The following is a 25,797-nucleotide window of genomic DNA, read 5'->3' as shown; positions in this document are numbered from 1 at the left end:
CCCCCTTCTAGCAAGTAAGGTAACATCTTGGCAAGTTCCGGGGATTAGGATGTGGACATCTTTGGAGGGTCATTACTGAGCCCTCCACAATGACAATTGACATGTTCCAGGGATTAGGATGTGGAGACCTTTGGAGGGTTGTTACTGAGCCCACCACACTGACGATATTGTGCTGCTAGGCCACTGAGACTGTGAACCTTGTTAGATCTCTTTCCTGTTCTATGCCTTTGTTTCCTGGTCTGTAATTAAAGATTCTCTTCCTTCCTTTACCATCTCCAGGCTGGTGGTCTCTATAGCTCATGCCTCTCCTCTGAGTTCCAGAACCCTGTACCTACCTGGCTTCCTGGAATCTCCACCAGGATGTTTCAAAGGCACCCAAAACTAAGCGCATCTAAGAATGAAGCCAGGATCTCCCACCCCGGTCCTTTGCCTGCTCCCCTCCTATGCTTGTCTTCTCAGACAATGGTACCTTCACCTGTCTGCTTGCTAATTCCCACCATACGGTCCATTACCCAGGCCTGTGGATTTCACCTCCCATGTATCTCCCAGATCTGGTCCCTCCATCTGCACCACCACTACCCTTGTCTAAGCTGCCATCATCTCCTGCCTGAGTCTTTGCAATGACCTCCTGATCAGTGTTATGTGTCCTTGCTGACATTGCTCAAGTTCCTTCTCTACAGCAGCAGCCAGAGTGATCGTCTCTAATTGCAAATCTGATCAACTCCATTCCTGTTCATTTTTTCAGTAATCAATGCCATATGAAAATATTTCATAAACAGCAGCTGCCCCTCCCAGTGGAAATCTCTAGGCAGCCCCTTCCTGAGCTGACTCTACTCCTGGTTCTCAACAGTCAAGACGCCTCCAGGATTTTTCTGGACTGAATGTCATGGTCTGAGGTCTGTCATAGGGCATAGAGAGAAAAGCTGGGGAGACCTCTCAGCCTGTTTGTGAAAAAGTGCTCTTTTTGAGGACAGTGAGATTATGACCAGTTTCCTAATCCCACTCTGTAAAAGATGTGCTTTTCTAGACTTCACAAGGTAGATTTGAAAGTTCTGATCTCAGGAAAAAGCAGTGGATCAGACCAAGAACCTCCCCAGAAGAGGGAGGTCACGCAGGGCTCCTGGCTCCCCATATCTTATCATTAGAGGCGGCGCAGTCCCTCGCATGGGTTGCCGCCCATGGTGCCAGGTAACTTAGTTTGGACCCCCCAGAAGCAGACCCTGAGATAAGAAATTTTTAAAATCGAGGTGAAATTCACAAAACCTAAAATTAACCTTTTTTTAATTTTTTTTTTTTTTTGAGACAGAATCTCTTCTGCCCAGGCTGGAGTGCAGTGGTGCCATCTCGGCTCACTGCAACCTCCGCCTCCTGGGTTCAAGCCATTCTCCTGCCTCAGCTTGCCGAGTAGCTGAGATTACAGGCATGCACCACCACAGCTGGTTAATTTTTGTATTTTTAATAGAGATGGGGTTTTGCCATGTTGGCCAGGCTGGTCCTGAACTCCTAACCTCAAGTGATCTGCCCGCCTCGGCCTCCCAAAGTGCTGGCATTACAGGTGTGAGCCACCTTTCCTGGCCTAAAATTAACCATTTAAAGTGAACAAAATGGCATTTAGTACATTCACAATGTTGTACAACAACCACCTCTATCTAGTTTCAAAATATTTTGTATCACCTATAACCATGAAACCCAAACCCGTTGCTCCCATTTCCCATCCTCCAGCCCCTGAGCTGCGTTCTGTCTCTATGGATTTTACCTATTCTGAACCTTTTGCATGAATGGGATCATGTGAGCTTTTATGTGTGGCTCCTTTCAAGGACTTAGCATCGTGTTTTCAAGGTTCATCCATGTTGCAGCATGGATCAGAACCCCATTCATTTTTAGGGCTGAATAACATTTCATCCCGTGGATAGATCACAGTTTGGTTCTCCGTTCATCTGCTGATGGACGCCTGGGCTGTTTCTACTTTTTGGTTATTGTGAGTAATGCTGCTGTGAACATGTGTATACATGTATTTGTTTGAGTTCCCGAGACAAGGATTTGAGTGCAAATTATTCCTTTACCAGAAGTTGGGAAAGAGGGGAAATGCAACAGAAAGCAAAGAACCAAGAGGTTGTGAGAGGGTGCGTTACTAAGTGGGCTACTGCAGAGGGCCGTGGGAGCTTCATCCTACGGAGAGCTGCAGACAGCATGAGCCACAGGGCAGAGTTGCCCCGCCTGCAGGTCCGGAGGCCTGGGTTATTTATGCTCCAACTCTCAGGACTCATTGGTTGGAAGTTGCTGGTGGTGGTGATAGTGGTGGGTTTTTTTATTCCCTGTGATTTCCAGCTTGCTGTGTGTGTGTGTGTGTGTGTGTGTGCATATGTTTGTGTGTATGTGTGTGTGTGCGCGCATGTGTGTGCTGGAAGAATGGCCACCTTGTGTTCTGGAAGAAGCCCTCAAGCAAGAGATGCAGACATCAGCAGGCGTAAGGGGGCTTGAGCCCAGTGAAGTGTTTGAGGATGTGGGTAGGGCAGAAGGTTTTCCACGATCGAGGATGACACGGAACGTCACTCCAGCAAAATCACACAGACACTCACTGTGTAACGCGGAGACACATCGTGAGGAAGGTGGCCCTTCAAACCCCCCTTTCTTTTAACTCTCCTTCCTTGAGGGAAGTCTCAAGTTCACGCACTATGTCTTTAACATTTCTCCAAAACGCGATCTTTCTTTTTAACAGGCCTCTGGCTCAGGGCCTTCAGAAGAAAACAGCGCCTAGCAGGAATTTATAACATTATTTTATTTTCCAGTTTATATTCCAATTAAGTAGATGAGTTACTGTTAAAATAAGCATATATATAATTATAAATAATAACTTGATCTTTGAAGTGTTTAATGCCATCACAGGCTACGCTCTGTTATCAGGTGGCAGGTGCTGCCTAAATCAAGGGGACAGTCCACGCTCTGCTGAGGCGTCGGTGAGTCCTGGCAGTGCGGGAACTGGGTATTTGGGCAGGGATGGGGGCTTGGAGGAGGCCCAGTGTGGAGCTTGCAATGTTGGCTGGGATTCAGAACCTTAGTTTAGAGCTTTGGTTGCACGTACCCCAGAGGCTTCATGTGTGTGAGTCTGTGTGAGTGTGTATGTGTGTGTTTTTGACTATGTTCATGTGTGAGGGTGTGTAACTGTATACATTTGAATGAGTGAGTATGAGTGTGTGAGTCTGTACGTGTGAATGTGCATGATGTGTGTGAGCATGTGTGTGTGAGTGTGTGTGTGTGTGTGGGAGACAGGGTGTCTGGAGGAGGTGGGCAGTGGCATATGGAAGCAGAGAGAGCAAGGTCACCTCTGAGAAGAAATGGCATTCAAGTGGCCCCGTGAGTCTGAGATGTGGCCTGGGGGTTATCATGGACGGGAGGGAAGCAGGAGGGTCAGGATGACTCACGCTCTGGTCCTTGTCACTAAAAGCATCACTTACATCAGACATTGGCCTAAGCACTATACGTGTGTTCTCCATATTTTTATTTAACAAATACTTATATTGCGCTTGCTGTGTGGAGGCACTGCTCTGGTTGTTTTCCAAAACAAAACAAGAAGCATTGAAAGAAACCAGTGAAACATCACCATCAGTTCTCACAACTGCCTTGTGCCAGAGGTGCTGCCATTATTTCCATCTGCAAAGGGGTCGGGGGAGCCTCAGAGCCTGTGGGTGGAGGGGCGGGTGGGGTGGAACTGGCATCTGCCTCCAGGGCTGGGCTCCTCCCATTGGTGATGCCTGGGTTTCATTGTGCTCGTAAAAGCCACAGGTCAATTACGCTTATTACCAGTTCTATAGATGGAGAAACTGAGGCACACAGGGGTGAGCAATTTGCTCAGCTTGAAAGTGGCAGAGCCAGGACCTAGCCCAGGCCACGACTCAGGGCCCACACTGTAACCATCTTGCTGGGGCCCCACAGTAATTAGCTCTTTGAAGAAAGGTGAGTCACTGACCTTGGCTGTGCCTCAGCTTCTTTGTTTGCCAAGTGGGGCTCTGCTGCCCCTGTCTCTGCCCTGCTGACTTGCAAGAAGGGTGAGAGAATGGAATTGGGTAAAGACTCCTAGAATCTTCCATCGAGAAAGTGCTCTGCGGTGGGAGAAAGCTGGTCTTGCCGACTCTGCCTGCAACGCTCTCAGTGGCCAGTCATGTCCCTCCTCTGCCTGCAGGTTCCTCACTAGAGCGGGGGTGGCCTGAGATGAGCCCTCAGGATTCACCAAGCTCTACACCCTAATTGTCTAGCTCTGTCCTAATGGATAGGGGAGCTGCCTGGGGTGACTGTCCAGGAACTGGGTTGTTGGAGATGGGCAGATCCGAAGGTCTGAGGCTCGTTCTAGGAGAGCATGTTCACCGAGGCCAAGCTTGGTGACTGGCTTCTGCGATGGTTCCCATGGCCAGAAAATTGCAAAAAGGTCCTCTGGGCTGAGAAGAAAAACACAAATGCAACCTTAGCTCTTACCCTGAAGGAACACTGGACAAGGAGTCCAGCCGCTGGGTTCAGATACCCTGGGCCAGGCAGCTTGTGTCTGTCTCCCTGAGTTCTCCATGGAGGCAACACTTTCAGAAGAGTGTACCGTTCATTCATTCATCTGCTCTTTACAGAGCAGCTCCTACGTGTCAGGCACGCTCTAGGCACCAGCGATGCAGCTGTGGATGAAACAGACCAGGGCCGTTTTCCGGGAGCTGATGTTCCAGGGGAGTTCAGGGGCAGTGAACAATAGGCACAGCCTGCCCCACCACAGATACAGTCACATAGACATACATGTGCATGCACATATGCCACACAAACATGTACATACATATATGAGTATGTGTGCTATTCTAGGTAGTAATAGATGCCATAAAAAACAAGCAATAAAGCAGGGCTTTTCAATCAAGTGTCTAGGGCCTACTTTACTTTAGATCATGGGGGCGTGGAAGTCCTCTCTGAAGTGTGCCATTTGAGCACAGGCTTGGAGGAATCAAAGGAGTCTTTCAGGTGCACATCTGGGGGAAGCATGCTCCAGTTGGAGGGAACAGCCGGTGCAGAGGCCCTCCATGTGGTAGGAGTGTGCCTGGCATGTTCTAGAATGAACAAGAATGCCTGTGTGGCCACTGTAGTGGAGTGAGCAAGGGGGAGGATGGTCTGAGTTATGTGGGGGCCTTGAATGTTGTGATCCTGGGGTGACCAACCCTCCTGGTTTGCCTGGACTGAGGTTTGCCAGGACACAGGACTTTGAGTGATACAACTGGGGCAGTCTTCAGAAAGCTGGGACAAGTCGTTCACTCTACACGATACGGAATTTTGGATTGTGTTCTGATGAGATGGGACATGCCCAGGGGTTTTGGACAGAGGATTTGGTAGCGAGTACCTCTGGCTGTGTGTGAAGAATGAACTGCATGGAGAACAGGAGTGGAGTTGGGGAGATGAGAGAGGAGGCACTGCTGCGGTCTGGTGTGAGGTGATGGATGCCTGGGCTGTGGTATTCATGGTGGAGGTGAAAGAGGTGGCTAGACCACTGGAAGGGCTGAGTTGCCGTTTACTATTGAGGTAGGAGACAGGACTCAACTCGAGAGGCAGGGCTCAGACACCAGATCAAATTGGGGACTAGCTGAAACAGGGCCAGGGCAAAAGTAGCTTTCTATCAGACACACCCCCACCAGTGTGCCATGTCAACTTACTGTTGCCATAACACCTGAGAGTTACTGCCCCTTTCCATGGCAATGACTCGGTGATCCAAAGGTTACTACCCCTTCCCCCAAAATTTCTGCGTAAACTGCCCCTTAACTTGTGTGCAATTAAAGGTGGGTATGAATGTGACTGCAAAACTGTCCTGAGCTGCTACTCTCTGCCTATGGGGTAGCCCCGCTCTGCAGAAGCAGTCACAGAGCTGTAATACTTCAGCTGTAACACTGCTGCTACAATAAAGCTGTTTTCTTCTACCTCTGGCTTGCCCTTGAATTCTTTCCTGGGCAAAGCCAAGAACCCTCTCAGGCTAAGCTCCACTTTGGAGCTTCCCTGGCCTACATCACTATGGTAAGTAAGATGGTGAGAGGGGTAGGCTTTCGGGGAGATGAGATTTCAGAAACGTGCAGTGGTGTGCCATGGTCCCAAGCTGGATGTTGGGGGTTCCTGCTCTTGGTTTCCACAGCCTCCGTAAGATCAGGTCCACTCTGACCTTACAGCACGACCACCACTCCCCTTCCTGAAATCCTATTCTGAGGTCACCCAAGGGAGTCTGTATTTCCTCTTTGCAAGGCCCAGCCTGCGTCGTATCCTGGGATGTCAAGGTTTATTTGTGATAAGGATGGGTGGCCCTCACAGTTCATGGGGGGATGAATTGTTGAAAATCTCACTGGTGGCCCCGAGTCCCATTTTGGACCTATTTTGGAGAGTTATCTTGGTAACCACCTGTCCAGATGTGTTTGTTGGAATTTCTACATCTGTTAAAGAGAGTGTGAACTTTAAAGAGGGACATCATTTGCTGGAAGAAAGTTGCTGAGTCTTCAGATGCTGTTGACTGGGGGAAAAGAGGGATAGGGCGTTTATGGACATGCAGTTTATTACAACAAAACATCTTAACATTCATCTCTACTGACATAAAAATACTTCCATACAGTCTGAAAGAGCAGTTGAAGTAACAGTAATGTGTTTCTTTACATAAATCTAAAGTGGAGATACCTGGCTTCTAAATTATTCTTTCATTTGTGCCATGACATTTACAAAGCCCCTGTTAAGTGTAAGGCCCTGGGCTCAGGAGGAGAGAAATGACTTAGATCTTATTCTCCTTGGGCCCATGGCTCATGGGGGCGATACGACATAAATGGCACACACGATACAGCGGGTTAGTCTGGTGAGAAAAGTCCCTGAGGCTCCGAGAAGGGGGGAATTGCTGGTTGCTGGGGGGATCAGAGAAGGATTTTTGGAAAAGATGCTGTGTCGATTAGCTTGCTTTTTGCCTGCAAGTAACTGAAACCTCTAATGACTCTAACATGGTAAGGGAACTTGTTATCTCCCAGTTCAAAGACCAGCCAGGAGCTGGACCTCTGGGGAGGTTGATTCAGCAGCTTTACGATGTCCGCAGAGATCCAGGGTTAATTGGCCTCCGCTTTGCTGCTCACTCTATTGGCTATGTTCTGAGGTTGGTTCACCTCCTCGTCACAAGACCGCTGCCACCAGCGTGTGAGGCCACATGGCAGTATGTGCAGGCCCATTGGGTAAAGACAGGAGAAAAACTCCCCCAAAGCATGCACTACAAGTCCTTTCCTTTAGTGTATTTGGCCTATTTTGGCATACCTGCCCCCAGCCCTGGGCAAATACCAATCAGCAGGGGCATATGCCGTATGCGAACAGGCTCAGACTGAACAGAATCACCCTGGAGTGGAGGATCCTAGGCCACAGGGGTTGCATGGGAAGAGGTGAACCCCTTGACAACACTGAAGTTATCTTAGGAAAGGAGAATGTGAGCTTGTTCTCCCATTTTTGCCCTGTAAGGATGTAGCAAGAAGGTGCCATAAGTGAGCCAGGAAGCAGGCCCACACCAGACATTGAATTTGCTGGTGCCTCGATCTTGGGCTTCCCAGCCTCTAGAGCTGTGGGACATAAATTTTTGTTGTTTAAGCCACCTGGTCAATAATATTTTGTTATAGCAGCCCAAACTGATTTAAGACTCTGTCTTAGTCCATTTATGCTGCTATAAAGGAATACCTGAAGCTGGGTAATTGATAAAGAGGTTTGTTTGGCTCATGGTTCTACAGGCTATACAGGAAGCATGGTGCCAGCGTCTGCTTCTGGTGAGGCCTCAGGCTGCTTGCACTCATGGCATGGGAAGGGAGCTGGTGTATGCAGATCACGTGGTGAGAGGAGAGGGGTGCCAGGCTTTTTTAACTAGTCATTTCTCACAGGAACTCATAGACTAAGAAGCCATTACCATGGGGAGGGTATGAAGCTCTTCATGAGGCAGCTGCCCCATGACCCAAACACCTCCCTTTAGGCCCCAACTCCAACTTTGGGGACCCCACTTCAGCGTGGGATTTGGAGGGGTCCAATATCCAAACTCTTATCACACACCCTCCCAGGAATCACCTTTCCAATGTCTCTCTCTTGTTGGGGTGGAGGCCAGGGACTCTTGTGGATGTTTGCACACTCGCTTTGAAGCTGTAGAACTGCAGCCATGATTCTGAGAGCTCTGGAAAAGTCTGTTCACTGTCCTGTTATGCTGGATTCACTGTCTCAGAAGAGGACTGTTTCCTGGAAAGAGGCACTTGGAGCAATATTGGTATCTGGGGCTGTCGCTGAGGCCCCTCTTCCATCACAGAGCACCGTCAGTGGTCAGTGGTGTGGGCCTTGTGCTGGCCGGGGGTCCTGGAAGTGGCTCTGCTGTCCTGCAGCCATGGGCCCAGGGAGCATTGATTCTGCCCAGCCTGGCTCTGTTCATCTGTGAGCTGAATCCCAATAGCATCGTTGAGTTCAGGTGATGATTAAGTAAGTTCACACACCCGGAGAGCTCAGAACTGCACTCCCCGGTCTAAAGTAAGCACGGTGTGTGTCAGCCCATTGTCGTCTGCTGGTGCCAGTCAGGGTCCCAGATGAGTTGGGTCAAGAGGCAGCCCAGAATCAGGGCTTTGAGCTTAGGAAGTGAGATTTCTGTAGGAACGCTTTGATATTTAGCCTGTAATGGGCAGCTTTGCTTCTAATCACTCTTGAGAGACAAGCCATCAAACATTGGTTATCCCTAAACTGAGAGCAGAAAGGGCTGAAGGGAGGAATGGTGGCCCTGGCTCCCCCTGCCATGCACCCGCTCTGCCAGCTGATGACAGATGCAGATGGATGGAGGACATTCCAAAGTCGAGGCTCAGGGCTGCTGCCTTTTCTCCTTCTGCTTCTTAATTTAAAAGAATTTATCCCAGAGTCTTCGTTACTACAGATTCCCTGACACTCTGCTGTGGGCTAATTTTTGAATAAAGCATCATGTTTTTTGAGTGCTTTTCTCCTCTGGGTATCCTCTTTTATCTTGAAGCCAGGAAGAAACATATGCTCTCGCTCATTTTTAAACCTTTCCGTCTTCCCTTCATTTTCTGGCTAAACGTCTGGATTTGTGTTTATCTTTCTCTTTCAGGGATGGTGGGTGCTTAAGTTCTGCAGGTTGTGAAGCAGGCTGTAAACACAGGTGACATTATTATTACAACCCCCCATGCTGCCGAGGGGGCGCTGCTCCCACCTGCAGTCCCAGGCCACTTTGATTCATCACGTGCCCCACAAATGTCACTGAGTACCTACTGGGTCCTGGGCGCTGGGTGCTGGGGATGCAGCAGTGGCCAGCACTGCCAGCATCCCTGTCCTCTTGGGACTTACATTCCAGGAGGGGAGAGTGACCTAACAGATGGGAGGGGGTGGCTGATGTTGGACTGGGGTGTCGGGAGGGCTTTTGAGGTGGTGCCGCTTGATCTTCGTAACGAGGAGGAGCCAGTTGAGGGTGGGCATATTCAGGGACGGTCACTCTTGATAGAAGGACCTAAGGTGGGACAAGCTGAGGTGGAGAGTAGGACACTGCAGTGAGGCTGGAGTGACCGAGGGCAAGTGTGAGGGGAGCCTGGGCAGAGATGGGAACTGAGAGGAGGCAGGACCTGATCAGTCTGTCCTGTGATGGGGGCACTGGAGGGTTGTGGTCAGAGAGGTGCCTGGAGCTGATTCAGCATGAGAAGGATTCCTCTAACTGCTGTGTGGGGAAGGGGATGCTCATGAGCAGGAAGGGAGGCCAGGGCAAGGCTGGGCAGCCATCCAGGATTAGCAGATGCTGGAAGGTGGAATGGGAAGCACATGTTCTGTAGAGCGTAGAGTGCCACCTTCTGAGGGACGATGGGCCAGCACCTGCTCTGGGCTCTCAGGGACATCCGTGGCTGCTGATTGTGGTAAAGATGGGGGATAACCTCAGAGCTCCTTTCCCTGGCTGTGTTTCTGCAGGGAAAGGTCGGATGAAGGGAATGGAATTGATCCCAGCATGAAAAACACATGATGCTGTAGGGCCAGGAATGAAGAATGAAGGTCATGAGAATGTTATCAGATGCCATATAATACTCAATATAAAACCAATCAGTAATAATCAGAAGTAATCAATATAAAGCCAATAATCAATATAAAACATCAGTAATAATATAAAGCCAATAATCAACATGAAATTCAGTGCAACCAAATGAGGGTGATGATGCCTAACATTTTAAACCCTTGCCTCCCATAGGCAGATGGTGCACTGAGCACTTTGCTGATATTGTTTGCCTTAACTTGTCCAATAATCCTATGTAACAGGAACTATCATTATCCTCAGTTTACAGATGAGGACACTCAGGCACAGAGAGGTTAAGTAACCTGCCCAAGGTCACACAGCTAGTAAACAGTGGACTGGGATTTGAACCCAGAGAATCTGCCTCCGGAGGCTGTGCTCTAGAAAGCTCAGGGTTCTAACCTGTTCACATCCGTGGAAAACTGTTTGTGAAAATGTTCTCACTGTGTTACTGTGAGTAGAATTTCTTTGCATTCCAACATCTGGCTTCTGAAATGACAAAATGCAAATAGCTTCTCCCAGGTGTTTCCTCTCCCCAGATGCCATCTTCCCCTCGGTGACCTCCCACTCTCTTATTCCAGACTCCAGTCCCTGACCCCACCAGGAAAAGGCAGAGGCACCTGATTTCCCCGCACCTGTGGAGCTGCAGGGGGTGTCTGGGTCTCCAACTCCAGTGGGGAATGATGTTCAACTTCCTGTTACACTGGGATCCACCTGTGGGTGAGAATGAAGGGCTTGGAGCCTTGACCCTGGATGGAGACATGTCTTCCCTTTCACAGGAGATCATAAAACCAGAGCTGACAGCAAAGATGGTCCTTCCTGAGAGTAGGTATTAGTCGAATTCAAGCAAACATCCCGTGCTGTGGAGACGGATCCGTCCCAGCTGGGCTGGAGCAGCCTTCTGAGGCTATCACCTGACTGGCCCACCAGAGGTCAATGTCAGTGATATGAGAAACTCCACAGCAATTCTGCCCGTGAGCGATAAAGATAGAAACACCATTTCCAGGAGCAGGCAATTGAATATTCATGCCAGGTGAACTTTGCATTTGGTGACTTTGTGCAGCATCCTGCTGTGTGAACTTTTGCAGGTTGTGGGTGTGATGTCTATACAGCATGTCTGTCTCCACAGCAGCGTACCCCCTTCTGACCATATAGAACCCAGCAGCAGCCTCAATACTCAGCTTGCAGGGAAACGGCCCTCTTTGAAGCTTTGAGGAATTTATAACTGGGGGAACCCTCTTCTGACCCTCCATTTAGGGTGTCATCGATTCTAGGTCGGACCCTTCTAAAGCCTGAGTGCTGGCTGTGACCTTCCTCCTGTGGGCTCATTCACAGGTGATGCCCCAGGGGTCATTGCACATAGGGGCAGGGGCCAGTTTCTCTGGTCTGGGGCATCTCTGCAGGGGTAGGAGGAGCCAGTCTCAGGGGATGCAGGGGCCTCTGGCACCATGGACCCCTCTCAAGCTGCAGCCAATGTCGAGTTTCCTGGGGCAGGAAGACGGCTGTTCCTCCCACTCTTGGCCCATTTCTTAGCACTGGTGGACTCTGGCCTCCCTGGGCAGGGGGTGTTGTCCTTTGCACAGGATCACGGGAGTAGGCAGAGGAAATGTTGTGTTTGGAAGTTCAGGAGTGGGTGGAGGGGCGAGCCTGGGTGGTGAGTAGCAGGGGTAGTCCCACCTGGCCTGGCCACCTGCTCCACTGCCCTCCTTTCTTTGCTTCCTGAGTAGAGCCTGGATGTTAAAAATGGCATTTCCCAAAATCTCACGCAACTTGGGTCTGTATGTGAATTTGGCTCTGCCAACTGGATCCTCTTATCTAGATCCGGAAGGTGGAAGTGAGGTGAAGCTTCCCCTGCCGTCTGGCTTGCTTGGACCCTGTGGTCATGTCCCCAGAGTGAGGGGGAATATCAGGGCTGAGGGTGCTGGTTTGAACCTTCGAAGGGCACAAGAGAGAAACTGAGCAGCAGATGTGGCCAGGTGGGAAAGCCAATACCTCCTGGACCTGGAAGGCTGAACTGGAGACCCAGGGACAAGGATGGGAGGGTCCCATGGAAGTCCCCAGCTCTTGTCATCCTTTCCTTGTTGGTTTGTGATATGGTTTGGCTATGTCCCCACCCAAGTCTTATCTTGAATTGTAACTCCCACAATTCCCATGTGTTGTGGGAGGAACCTGGTGGGAGGTGACTGAATTATGGGGCAGGTCTTTCCTGCACTCTTCCTGTGATAGTGAATGGGTTTCATGAGCTTTGATGGTTTTAAAAATGGAAGTTTCCCTGCACAAGCTCTCTCTCTTTGCCTGCTGCCATCCATGTAATATGTGACTTGCTCCTCCTTGCCCTCTGCCATGATCGTGAGGCCTCCCCAGCCACGTGGAACTGGAAGTCCATGAGACCCTTTTTCTTGTTTAAATTACCCAGTCTAGGGTATGTCTTTATCAGCAGAGCGAAAACGGACATATACAATTTGTTCTTGGGAAAGGAACATCAGACTCTCCCTCCCTAATTAGAATTCAAGCTCCAAGAGGGAGGGGTTTTTCTTTACTGTGTGTCTCCAGTGCCTAGGTCAGTTCCTGACTCCATATATGTTGAAATATATTTTAATAAATGAGGGCAGCGACCTTATCTGTCACTTTAACCCAGAACTTAGCAGAGTGCCTGGTGCATAGTAGGACTCAATAAATATTTGTAGAATAAATGAATGAACAAATGATATCTCTCAATCCTTCCCCATACCTGCCTCCTCTACTGTCTTTGGGACCTTCTCCTCCCCATCTCATTCCAACATCCCTGTTTTCGGGCTTTCTTGGATGGATTGGGGGGCCCCATTGCACTCCCTCAGTGCCTGTTTTAACAGTCTCCCTCCTGCCGAGATGACGAATGTCTGTCAGCCCTGGAAGCTGAGGCTGCCTCCACTGCGAGCCTGAGCCTGGAAGACGCTTCCTCCCACAGTTAGCTCTGCTCTGTTGTGCCCCTGGGGTTGCAGCACTTCCTCTGCCTGGCCCTTCACATCGGTCACACTCCTGGAAACAAGTTCCCAGACAGACAGACGCTGTCCCCAAGAGTCTAGGATTCGGTTGTCTCCTTGTACTCATGCTAAAAACAGCATTATTTCCCCCAACTCGGCTGCACCTGCAGAGACTAGAATAAGACAGCGTATTTTTAGCAGGTAACAGACTGTACATGGAGGCTATAATTAGCATTTCATTCAAAGGTGGGAGTTTCCCATCCAATGCAAGAGTGACTGACCATGAGATCCTCTCACCGCAGCCTCTGTCTCAGATGTCTGGTGTGGGAAGAAGCCAGCAGCACCCAGGAAAGGTGTGGGGCCTTTGTGGATATTGCTCCCTTCATTGCTTACGCCTTTCCCCTCTGGCCTGTCCAGAGCCTTGGTTCTGCCCAGACCCCAGTGCTGTCCTCCTCTGGGGATGACCTGGCCAGGCTATGTGATGAAGATGTCCTGCCAGGTTGGTGTGAGGCTTGTGGGTCCTCTGTCCTGCACTCAAAGTTGCCCCATGGGGGACAGGGACAGGTGGGGGTTACCCAGCTATGGCAGAGACTGCTGGATGACCTCAGCATTCCTCCTGGTAGCAGGGAGCCTGGCTTCCTGGAATAAAGACTACATTTTCCAGGCCTCCTTGTGACAAAAACATGGCCAATGGGGTGTGAGCATTATCTCTTTTTCTCTTTGCTTTGGCTGGGAGAGAACAGAGGTGGGCAATCCAGGCGTGGCAGGGTGTAAGGTGGAAGTACCCTCAGTGTCTTTGTCTGTATAACGGGTGAGATGGAGCAGGGACCCCTTTTAGAGGTCTGCCAGGCTCCCCCCCACCCCCCCGCAACACCCACCCACATAAAGATAAAGGAAAAAATTTGAGTCCCTTCAAGGAAGATTCCAAGCACCTAACTAGTTCTGCAGCCAGCAATTAGGGAAGTAAATGAATAACCTGCTATATTAGTCCATTCTTGCACTGCTGTAGAGAAATACCTGAGACTGGGCAATTTATAAAGACAGGAGGTTTAGTTGGCTCATGCTTCCACAGACTGTACAGGAAGCATGGCAGCATCTGCTTCTGGGGAGGCCTTAGGGGGCTCACAATCATGGCGGAAGGCAAAGGGGGAGCCCGCACTTCACATGGTTGAGCAGGAGAAAGAGAAGGGGGAGTGGGTGCTACACATTTTTAAACAACCGGATTTCACGAGCTCTATCACGAGCAGCACCAAGAGGATGCTGTTAACCCATCCATGAGAAACCGCTCCCATGATCCAGTCGCCTCCCTTCAGGCCTCACCTCCAACATCGGGGATTACAATTCCACGTGAGATTTGGACAGGGACACAGATCCAAACCATGTCACCTGCTAAGCAAGAAGGTAATAATAAAAGCCACCCAAGTAAGCCAGAGTCACAAGATGTTAGGTTCCTGTATTAGGGTTCCCTAGAGGGAAAGAACTGATAGGATTGATGTATATACGAAAGGGAATTTATTAATGAGTATTGACTCACACAATCACAAGGTGAAGTCCCACAATAGGTCATCTGCAAGCTGAGGAGCAAGGAAGCCAGTCCAAGTCCCAAAACCTCAAAAGCAGGGAAGCCGACATTGCAGACTTCGGTCTGTGGCTGAAGGCCCTAGAGCCGTTGGCAAACTCTTGGTGTAAGTCCAAGAGTGCAAAAGCTGAAGAACTTGGAGTCTGATGTTTGAGTGCAGGAAGCATCCAGCGGAAAGATGAAGGCTGGAAGACTCAGCAAGCCTAGTCGGTCCGTGTTCTTCTGCCTGCTTACATTCTAGCTGCACTGGCAGCTGATTAGATGGTACCCAGCCAGATTGAGGGTGGGTCTGCCTTTCCTAGTCCACTGACTCAAATGTTAATCTCCTTTGGCAACACTCTCACAGACACACCCAGAAACAATACTTTGTATCCTTTAATCCAATCAAGTTGACACTCAACCATCCCAGTTCCCTATAGAAAGTAAAAGAGAACATCTTGACCCATGTCCTTGAGTGAGTTGTTTTTCAGGAGCTAGGACCCCACCAGATGGAAAATGCTGACTGTTTTCATGCAGACCTCAGATAAAGGGGAACTGGGACTGAACCTGACCCCCAATTTTGTTCTAAATCTCTTCCTGAGGGGCCTGTAGAGAGTCACACCTATAGGCCAAACCTTAACATTCCTTTCAGCTGACCCTAAGTATTTTAGACAAACCTTGTTTTTTAAATCCATTGCAAATCAAAGAATCTCTGAATCCACCTGTGACCTTCAAGCCCCCAATCCAAAATATCCTGCCTTTTTAAAGGTAGACCAATATGTAACATCCATGTATTGGTTTATGATTTTGCTGGCAACTTCTCCTTTCCTGAAACTTACCCCTGCCTTTAAAAACCCTTCCTTATAAGCCCCTAAGAAGTTTGCATCTCAAGCATCAGCTGCCTGATTCTCCTTGCTGGTGCCCTACCTTAAAGCCTTGTTTCTCTTGCTACAAACCTCAGTGTCAGTGCTTGGCTTTGCTGCACCAGGTGAGCAGACCCAGCTTTGGTTCAGTAACATTGGGAGGGTAATTGTACCTACCTTCTCTGGTTTCTATAAATTGGGAATTGTTCATTTGCTGAACGATGGAAAACCCAACCCCACAGTCTGAGGGGAAAAAAGGATTTATTGGTGCAGATAACTGGAGGGTTCCAGAAAGGGACTGCCTCAGGCATGACTCAGGAAGAAGTGGGGACCAAAGGGAGGAATTTGGTAACAAGGTAAATATTTACCCCAAACCCAAGTTCCAAATAATAGTCTTTGGCTTTTGTGGCATATCCAGGTCAAATGATGGTAACACTGACAAATACGGGCGTAATCTCACACAAGCTCAAGGAAAAAGCAGATTCGTGGAGAGATGAACAGCTGAGGTCAGAACCCCTGTGTTCATGGAATGCAGGACACATCCCCTGTCTGTGTATCTATGGCCTGAGGGTCCTGACTGGCTTACCTGTTCCTGTTATTTTCACAATAAATTTGTTCAGGTCACCAACAATTCCAGCTTGAAAGGACCACAGAATCTCATCATAACCTGGGTGTTTGAATCCCAAATGTAGACTGTCCAAATGTCCATAGCTATCCTCAAGATTTCCGCAGCATGAAGCTGACATTTTTTCCTGCTCCTCCCAGCTCTCGTTTCTGGCCTCTGCTGAGCTCTTAACTCTCCACATTGTTTCTTGTAGCTGCCCGTCTTGTTTCTGCAGGAGTCCATTCATCTTGGGAAAAAAAATAGCCCAGAGAAATCTGAGCTATGTTAGGTATGCAGAAGGTATCAGGTCCAGGGAGACATGAGTATGAAACTTCAGTCACCCCTCTGGCCCCATGCCCAGGAGCAAGAGTTTAAAGGCGTTTTAGTCATGACTAGCTGCCTTCCCGATTATCTTGATGTTCCTGGAGTTTGTGATACAAAGAACAATGTGTAGCCAGTCAATGGTCTGTGTTATTTTAATGCAAATTCTTGGTGAACAACTTAGAAAGTGCCTCTTCTTTTTTCCTTAAAAACCCACTTGTAACTCTGGCTAATTATCTTGCATGTTCAGGGCAAATTGGATCTATGCTTCCGGGTGGTCATCCTCAAGCTTCGAGCTCAAACACTATAGTTAGTCATAATTTCTGAAACTCATTATTTAAGGTTGACACATCCAAGCATGGTGTGGGCTCCTCCTTGTATTTTTTTTTTTTGTTTTTGTTTCCTTAGAGTCAGGGTCTTGCCGTCACCCAGGCTGGAGTGCAGTGGTGCAATCATAGCTTGCTGCAGCCTTGAACTCCTGGGCTCAAGCGATCCTCTCGCTTCAGCCTCCTGAGTAGCTGAGACTACAGGTGTGTGCCACCATGCCCTGCTAATTTTTAAAAAATTTTTTTTGTAGAGACAGATTCTCACTGTGTTGCCCAGACTGGTGTAAACCAAAAAATAAAATTCTGAGGCCCTCAACCAAGTGAATGGATCCCTCCTCTCAGCAAAGGGCATTCCAAAGTAAACCTGGAACGAGAGTGCAGGGCACGATGGGAATGGCTTATGCCTTCCTCTTGTTGGAATTGAGGCACAGCTGACCAGCATTAACATTAAGGCAGAGACCTAAAGGCTGACAAATGACTCTTTGTAGCATTGTGACACATCACAAAATGACAGCAGGTTCTGAAAGAAATCCAAGTATTTTACCCTAAAATATATTAATTGGACCTATTTTGAAATGGCCCTGCAAAGCTGTCTCTGGTGGGAAAAATCTACATTCTGTAGAGAATCTCTTTCCCTTTCCAGGCCTAATTCCTGACCTGGGAGAGAATTAACTAAGAGTCTAAAAAAGAGACCTTTTTAGGCCTGATTAGAGCTCTGAAGGCTGCTCCTGGAGGCTTCATCTGTATGATAAAACCTTGGTCTCCATAACCCCTTATCTTAACCCAGACACTCCCTTCTATTGATTCCAGGACTTTAGGTAATAAGTTAGCACTTTCAACCAATTGCCAATCAGAAAATCTTTGAATCCACCTATGACCTGGAAGCCCCACCCCTCGCACCCTTCGAGTTGTCCCACCTTTCCTGACCAAACCAATATATATCTTACCTGTATTGATTGATGTCTTATGTCTCCCTTAAACATATAAAACCAAGCCATAGCCCAACACCTTGGGCACATGTTCTAGGATCTCCTGGGGCTGTGTCATGAGCCCCTAATATGGTCACTCATATTTGGCTCAGAATAAATCTCTTCAAATATTTTACAGAGTTTCAATCTTTTTGTTGGCACTGGTCTTGAACTCCTGGCCTCAAGCAATCATCCCACCTTGGCCTCTTGAAGCTCTATAGGCATGAGCCACCAGTCCTGGCCTTTCCTTGTTATTAGTCTTCTCAAATTCCATGTTCCTGGCAGCTGTGACGGACAGATTTTACTGGTGACGTTGGAGCAACACAGGTGGGTAATTTTATCTGTGCCCTGGTCCCTTGGCCACTTCTGCCACCTCCAGCATCTGGATGTGTTGCTTAGCAACCCCATCCCTTTCTACCTCCTGCCTTTGACCTCAACTTCACATCCCTACTCAAGTCTGAATAGTTCTTCTCTGGGCAACTCTTATCTCAGCTGGTGATAAATGGATTTTCTCACCTCCTGCCCTGGTAATACTCAAGGTGGCCACTTACTGGCTGTCTACCTTGCGGCAGGCACAGACCTATGCCTTGCACGCAGTATCTCACCAGTCTGCACAAGAGCCTCATGTGGGGCCTGTTCTCCCACTTTACAGATGAGGGAGCCTAGGATCCTCCACGAGAAGGGACTCAATGGTCTATAGGGGAGTTGGGGTTCACCTTGTGCTGTCTCACCCTGGGGTCCAAGCTCCTAACCAGGGTTCCCTATTTACTCAATTTAAATCATTCACCTGCCACTGTCTCCACTTTCCCCAGGATGATCCTTTGCTCCTGGGGTGGCCAAACATTTTCTGGCAAGTGCCAGAGAGTGAATATTTTGGGCTTTGTGGGACACATGGCCTCTGTTGCAAGTGCCCTGCTTTGCTGTCATAATGCCAGGCAGCCATAGCCAGAGACGATTTATACACAGATCAGCACTGCGGTGTCCCAGGAAAACTTGATTTACAAAAATAGGCAGTTGGCCTCAGGGCTGTAGTTTGCTGATCTCTGATAGCTTTCTTTAAATAAACCCATTTTTTTTTCACTAAAAAACTTTTATTTGAAAGAAACACTTAAATCATCCAGAGTAAATGTGAAACCAGCATCTCTTGCTGGGAAGGAAGGTAACTGTAAAAATAAAAACAGTAAACTTAAGCAGAGGTGCCATATTCTGCAGTAAGCCTGGGGGCTTCTCTTTCTTTGTTGGAAAGGATGAAAAGCTGGGCTTGGAGAGGTGGGAGAGGCACATCAGCACCAAATCAAGATGTTTTCTTTGAGGTAATTGGAAGAACCAAGAGAGACTGTATAGGATGTAATGTTACCGAGTGCCATGTTTGGTTTGTGCAAAGATTTCACACTCTGGGATTCGTGAAGCTCTGAGTAGAAGAGAGCAGGCAGTGGTGTTGGAATGTATTGCGCTCACCCTGGAGTGGGGATTTGGGGACATCTGTGCAGGCAGTGAGGATGTAGGATTCACAGGACAAAGAATGGGCAATGCGGCCTTGGCCCTGGCTCCCTGACAGCTCTAAGGGGCTGCTGTGGTTCCTGCAAAGCCTGGGACCTGGAAGTGTGAGGTAGGAGGCGGGACTCAACTCCAGAGGTGGGGCTCAGACACTGGACCAAAATCTGTGCTTGCTAAAACAGAGCTTGGGTGGAAGCAGCTTTTCATCAGACATGCCCACCAGTGTGCCATGTCAGTTTACCATTGCCATGGCAACACCCGGGAGTTAATACCCCTTTCCATGGCAATGACGTGAATACCCAAAAGTTACTCTCCTTTCCCTAGAAGAATGTTTTTAAAAGTAGGTATAAGGCCGGGCATGGTGGCTCACACCTGTAATCACAGCCCTTTGGGAGGCCGAGGGAGGTGGATCACTTGAGGCCAGGACTCCAAGACTAGCCTGGCCAACGTGGCAAAACCCCATCTCTACTAAAAATATAAAAATTAGCTGAGTGTGGTGGTGCACACCTGTAATCCCAGCTACTCAGGTGGCTGAGGCAGGAGAATCACTTGAACCCAGGAGGCAGAGGTTGCAGTGAGCTGAGATGGCCTACTGAACTGCAGCCTGGGCAACAGAGCGAGACTCTGTCTCAAACAAAAACAAAAACAAAAACAAAAGTGGGTATAAATATGACTGCAAAACTGCTCTGAGCTGCTCCTCTCTGCCTATGCGGTAGCCCTGCTCTGCAGGAGCGGTCACAGAGCAGTAATACTGGCTCTCTAATAAAGCTGTTTTCTTCTGCCTCCGGTTTGCCCTTGAATTCTTTCTTGCACAAAGCCAAGAACCCTCCTGAACTAAGCCCCACTGTGGGGCTTACCTGCCCTGCATGAGGTAAGTATCAACTATGGCTCAAAAGGCAGGTCAAAGGCAGCTTTTCAAGTATATTTGTGTCACAGAAACTCCCACTGTAACATCAAAAAATGAATGATTTTTTCAATTCCCTTTATTAGGGTTTCTTTCCCTGCCCCCCTCATTTCTCCACTTCTTTCTCTTCTCTCCGTAGGTATATAGTTATACTCCCCCCTCACACACTCATTTTGTGTATGTTCAAAAATATTTTGGTTATCTTTTATTTCTGGTAACTGCTTTTTCATCCTGCATGAGCAGCCAAGAAAAGAATTAATTTAGACTTTCTGCAATGTCAGGGCCTCTCATTCAATTACTCTCCTTGTCTCTTGGAAGCTCTGGTAACTTAGTTTAATGACCTCTCACACCTTACATCCTTAAAAAATGCCCCGTGTGTCTCCTGGCTCGGGCAGTCTTAATTATGTTGGCAGCTTTAGGTTTCCTTATTACCCGCACTCCAGGACCTCATCCCCACCCTGTCCCCATCTTCATCTTCACCCAGAGCTTCCCATCTCCCCACCTCCCTTATCGCCAATTTCTGTCTGCACTTTATCCACGATATTCCCATGTTTTCTGCTCTTACTAGAAACATTATTTTACCCAGCACTGCATTTTTAAACTGAAAGAAGATGGTGATTATTATGCCCTTATCGAAATCCATTACTTGAAAAGCTCGAGGTGAGGTTTGGGGAGGACTGTGGACTTCCATGCAGTTGGAGCAACAGATATGCAGCCGTTTAATTCCCTAAGTCAGGTGCGGAGGGAAGGGACGTTATCTCCTTAGTATGGGCGCTTGATTAACTGTGACGGAGATAAGAATTACACACATCCCCACAGCAGGCTGGGAAATAAAATTGAAGGAAGGGGTTTAAATCCCTTCACATCAAGCTGGAAGAAGCTCTATATGAACAATTCCATGTGATTAAGCCTTGGGAATGTTGCCTCTGCAAATCCCCAAGGGCTCTTATGTACATTTCCATTTTGTTTCCATAAGACTTTGGCTCCCAGGTGTCTGAGACTGCAGGAAAGTTAACCAGCAATAGCGTTGGGGCTAGGGAAGGGCAAAGCTCTCGGAGACCTTGAGAGTGAAGCTTGGAAGTCCCCACCTTCATTCGAGCCTCTGGCTCAGGCTGGGAGAGAAGATGGAGTCGGTCCTGGAAGGTTCGGTGGTGAAAGAGGATGACAGGACATTTCCAAATCATCATAGGAAAGTGGTAAGTGCTCTACCATGGCTCAGCATGCTGTGTGCCAGGGTTACACCCTGAGGAGCAGGAGTGCTCATGGAGGGCTGGATGTTATTCTTTCATCCAAAAAGTATCTCTTGAGCCCCTACCATGAGCCAAACATTGGGATGCAACAGGGAAGAAATCAGACAACCTCCCTGCCCTCAGGGAGCTTACACTCCTGGGGAGGAGGTAGACAAAAAACACAATTCATAATATATTTTGTTGATTTGGAAATACACCATTTGTTGCACATTTTAATATTTAAAATTGGAGTGCATCTTAATAGTGTCATTGTGTTGCAGTTTGTCAGTGTTTTTCCCTTCTCAGCAGTGTGTAAAATAATGGTGCATCTTATAGTTGCTGGCATCTTAGATTTGATGACATTCTCCAGTACTTCAGGTCATAATAATGACTATGAAAGGAAACAAATAGCCAGGTGTACCTGTCAGAGAACAAATGGCAGGACACAAATGGCTCAATCACCAAGGTGTGGTTGAAGAGTTTATTTGTATAAATCAAAGGGGCAGGAGTACGGTTTTGTTAATGTGGATATGCCACATAGTGCTGAAGCTTGGGCTTTTAGTGTCATCATCGCTCCACTAATGTACATTGTACCCATTAAGGAATTTCTCATCCGTAACCCTGCTGTAGCCCTCCCACCCTTTGGAGTCTCCAATGTCTATTATTCCACACTCTATATCCACATGCACACATAATTTAGGTCCCACTTATAAGTGAGAACATGCAGTTTTGACTTTCTGAGTTATTTAACTTAAGGTAAATGGCCTCTGGTTCCATCCATGTTGCTGCAAAAGACATAATTTCATTCTTTTTTTTTTTTTTTTTGAGATGGAGTCTCGCCCTTTCACCCAAGCTGGAGTGCAATGGTGCTATCTCAGCTCACTGCAACCTCTGCCTCCCAGGTTCAAGCGATTCTTCTGCCTCAGCCTCCTGAGTAACTGGGATTACAGGTGTGTGCCACCATGCCTGGCTTATTTTTTGTATCTTTAGTAGAGACGGGGTTTCACCATGTTGGTCAGGCTGGTCTCAAACTCCTGACCTTGTGATCTGCCCACCTCGGCCTCCCAAAGTGCTGGGATTACAGGTGTCAGCCACCGCGCCTGGCCAATTTCATTCTTTTTTATGTCAGAATAGTATTCCTATTCTATTGAATGCTATTCCTATTCATAGAATGTAGTATTCCTACCCTATGTTCTATTCTGTGAATATATATATGTGTATATTTTTCACATTTAGGAATACTATGGCAGAAAGTATATATGCCACATTTTCTTTATCCAATCATCTGTTGATGGATGCTCTCCATCTATTTATTTTTATAATAGAGAGGTGGGTAGAAAGATTTGTTTTCATGAATGGAAATAAAGGCCAGCAGCATGAGAGGTAATAAGTAGTGATGACTCTCGCCTTCTCTGTTGAGGGACAGCAGGTGGTGAGCACTGTGGCAAGTCTAGGCTCACTGGCCGGTGCAATGAGGTGGCTGTGACATCCTCAGGCCATGAGTCACCCAGTAAAAAGGGCACAAGTTTGCTGTGTCTTTGATTTTTCAGAGGAAGATGGAAATCTATATTTTAATATAAAATTTTTTTTTGAGACAAGGTCTCACTCTCACCCAGGCTGGAGTACAGTGATGTGATCACCACTCACTGCAGCCTTGACCTTCCAGGCTCAAGCGATCCTCCCACCTCAGCATCCTGAGTAGCAGCTGGGACTACAGAAACACGCCACGATTCCCAGATCATTTTTAATTTTTTTTTTTTTGTAGAGACAGGATCTCACCATGTTGCCCAGGCTGGTCTCAAACTCCTGGGCTCAAGTGTTCCTCCTGCCTTGGCCTCCCAAAGTATTGAGATTATGGCATGAGCCACTGCACCTGGCCTCATTTTTAAATGTTGAAAACAAACTGTACAGACCCGAGTGCTGTGGGCTGATCACATCCTCTAGCCAGATGTGGCCTGTGGTCCTTCACTTTGTGTTTGGGATAGACCATTAATATGCAAATTGTAGGAAACATGCTTCTAATTTTGGTGAGTAATTCATTCCATCTGTTTAGGACTCATTTTTTCCACCCACAAAATCAGCTCCTTCTATTTCTGGCCCAGTTTATGTTTAACGGCTCTAAAACCTGCATATTTATCCTCAATTGAGTTTGATTGTGTAGAAAATACCCAGAGAAACCCAGTCTCCACAGACCAGATCAGAATATCCATAGGTCATCACTTGGTGTCTCTGGGCTCTGGATCCATTGGGATTTAGCTTTGGCTACTGTGGTAGAGACAGTGGCTTATACAAGCTGGAAGTGCATTTCTCACTCATGTCAACAGCTGAGCTGGTGTGCCAGTTCCAGTTTGTGAAGTTTTGAGGGACCCCGTTTCCCTCTGTCTTTTTGCTCTGCTATCCCTAGGCCATTGGCTTCCTTCACTTGGTCCAGATGCCCCACCCCTGTCTGCATTTCAGCCAGTGAGAAGTGAGAAAAGAGCTGGGCACACCCTTTCCTCCTTGGGCACAACTTGGCAGGGGCGCCACTCTTGCACTCACATTCCACTGGGCAGCACTTACTCACCTGACCACACATCGCTGCAAGAAAGGCTGGAAACGGCCGTCCTTCTTCTGGGCTGCCATGCACCAGCTAAACTGCTAATTAACAGGGGTTCTATTACTAAGGGAAAGCTGTACAGATAATGGGAGACACCCAGTCATTGTAAGCACATAAGGTGGACAATTCCAAGTAAAGCACACAAACAAAATTCCAAGATCTCAACTGGGATTCTCAATTAGCTTTCAGTTTCACTCCTGACAGATAGAATATTTTTTTAACCTCTTTAACCAGTTTTGAAGTAAAATGGCTTTTCCAACTAATGCCACAATATCAAGTTACAAACCTCAATAACTTCTGTTTTTCTTTTGTAAAGACAGGGTCTCACCATGTTGCCCAGGCTGGTTTCGAACTCCCGGGCTCAAGCGATCCTCTCACCTTCGCTATGGAGGGAGGATCTTTTGGCTAAATTTGTGCACCAGTTGAACTATGGTTTGCTTCATATTTTGTTCTAAATCATTCCAGTGTTTAGTCCAAATGAACTTAAGAGGGAATTTTGCCAAATGATAAGATACAACATCAAAATTTGGGGGCCACAGCTAAAGCGGTGCAGAGGGAAAGAATTATATCTTTAAAGGTAATGTAATGTAATATAACAAAAAAGAAAGGTAAAAAATCAGTGACCTAAGATTCTACCTCAAGACACTAGAAAAAAAAGTAAACCAGAAGTATGTAGAATTAATACGTAGATATGTACAATGAATACGTCGATACGTATCTATGAAATATGTAGGTAAAGGGAAGAGCAGAAGTAAACGAAATAGTACATGAAAGGCAATAGATAAGATTAACAAAGATAAAAGTTAGCTCCTTAAAGAGATCACCAGGATTGACAGACCCATAACTAACATTTTTCTACATCTTGATTTTATCACTTAACTCCTTGTTGATATACCTTCAAGACATCTTATATGGCTCTAAATTAAAGTTGTTCTTTACAATAGCTGTGGAAATTCCATTGGGTGGCTATACATGCAAAATGCTCAGCCATTTTTCTCATAATGGGAATGTGTTTTGTTTCCAGTTCTGGGAAGCTATAAACAACACTTGCAGTAAACATCTGTGCATTTTAGGATAAGGTTTGGGTACTTTTATTTTTACAGTTTGCATTTCTAGCAGTTCAAGAGCAGAGAGATGCTTTTCTGTGAATTACCTCTTTATAGCTATCACCTCCTTTTCTTGTCAATTTGTAAGAATTTGTATATTACAGAAATTAGCTCCTTGTCTAGTATTCACTTACAAATACAGGTTTATATAGCTTGTTTAATCATTTTATGTACAAAATTTTCAAATTTTTTTATTTTCGGTTTTTTAAATATCAAGATTATCCATCTTGGTTTGTAAAGTCTTATCAACCTCCCTAGATTATAATTGTAATATCTTAGATTTTCTTGCAATTTTTTTTTATATATATAAGGGATAAAGCTATAGAGAGCCCTCCTGTCCATGGTCATGACCTTTCCAGGACAGCTCACTCCTGGTGGCTGGGGAAGTCAGGGAATAAAAGCCTGGTAATTTGGGCCCAACATGGGTTGACTCCTACAAGCAATATTTGTTTCAGAACCTCTGCAAATTTGTGGAGGCCACGTCAGGCCTGCCTTGAAGATCAACTTCTCCCCTGCCCAGCGTGCCTTTCCCCACCAAGTACCTTTCACAAGTGTTGGTCCTTAGAAGTATTTTGAACTGAAAACTCCATCTCAGTTTCTGCTTCTGGAGACCCCAGCCCGGGGCAAGAGCAATGGGTTGGTGTGGGGCTATGGTGGGGGATCCATGTAGTCCAGCTCCAACAGCATAGGTCCTCATCTGGCTCCTAGTTTGCATCACAAGTCTATGTATTCCACAGATGGGGGGTCCAAGATTGAAAAGGATCATGTGACATATTTTGGGGATTTTGACCTGATTTGATTTTTATTTTTA

General features: G+C 47.3%; 1 long non-coding RNA gene across 1 annotated transcript in view, besides 1 other annotated feature; it reads left to right on the top strand.

The window, feature by feature from the left end:
* Positions 1-25,797, top strand: part of LOC105372646 (uncharacterized) — a 37,271-nt gene that overhangs the window by 8,657 nt on the left and 2,817 nt on the right. Inside the window, exons 2-3 of the long non-coding RNA XR_936817.4 lie at positions 10,633-10,876; positions 21,032-21,251. This is a non-coding gene — a long non-coding RNA (uncharacterized LOC105372646). The remainder of the gene's footprint in view (positions 1-10,632; positions 10,877-21,031; positions 21,252-25,797) is intronic.
* Positions 13,347-13,426: an enhancer, noted in NCBI's record as "active region_18022". NCBI's record gives its function as "activates an Ori minimal core promoter by ATAC-STARR-seq in GM12878 lymphoblastoid cells {active_cell/tissue: GM12878}" and the evidence as "EXISTENCE:reporter gene assay evidence [ECO:0000049][PMID:35858748]".

The sequence above is a fragment of the Homo sapiens genome, chromosome 20, assembly GCF_000001405.40.
Source record: "Homo sapiens chromosome 20, GRCh38.p14 Primary Assembly".
NCBI classification, from domain to species: Eukaryota; Metazoa; Chordata; class Mammalia; order Primates; family Hominidae; genus Homo; species Homo sapiens.
The sequence above is the reverse complement of the archived record's forward strand: the minus strand, read 5'-3'. Positions and strand labels throughout refer to the sequence as shown.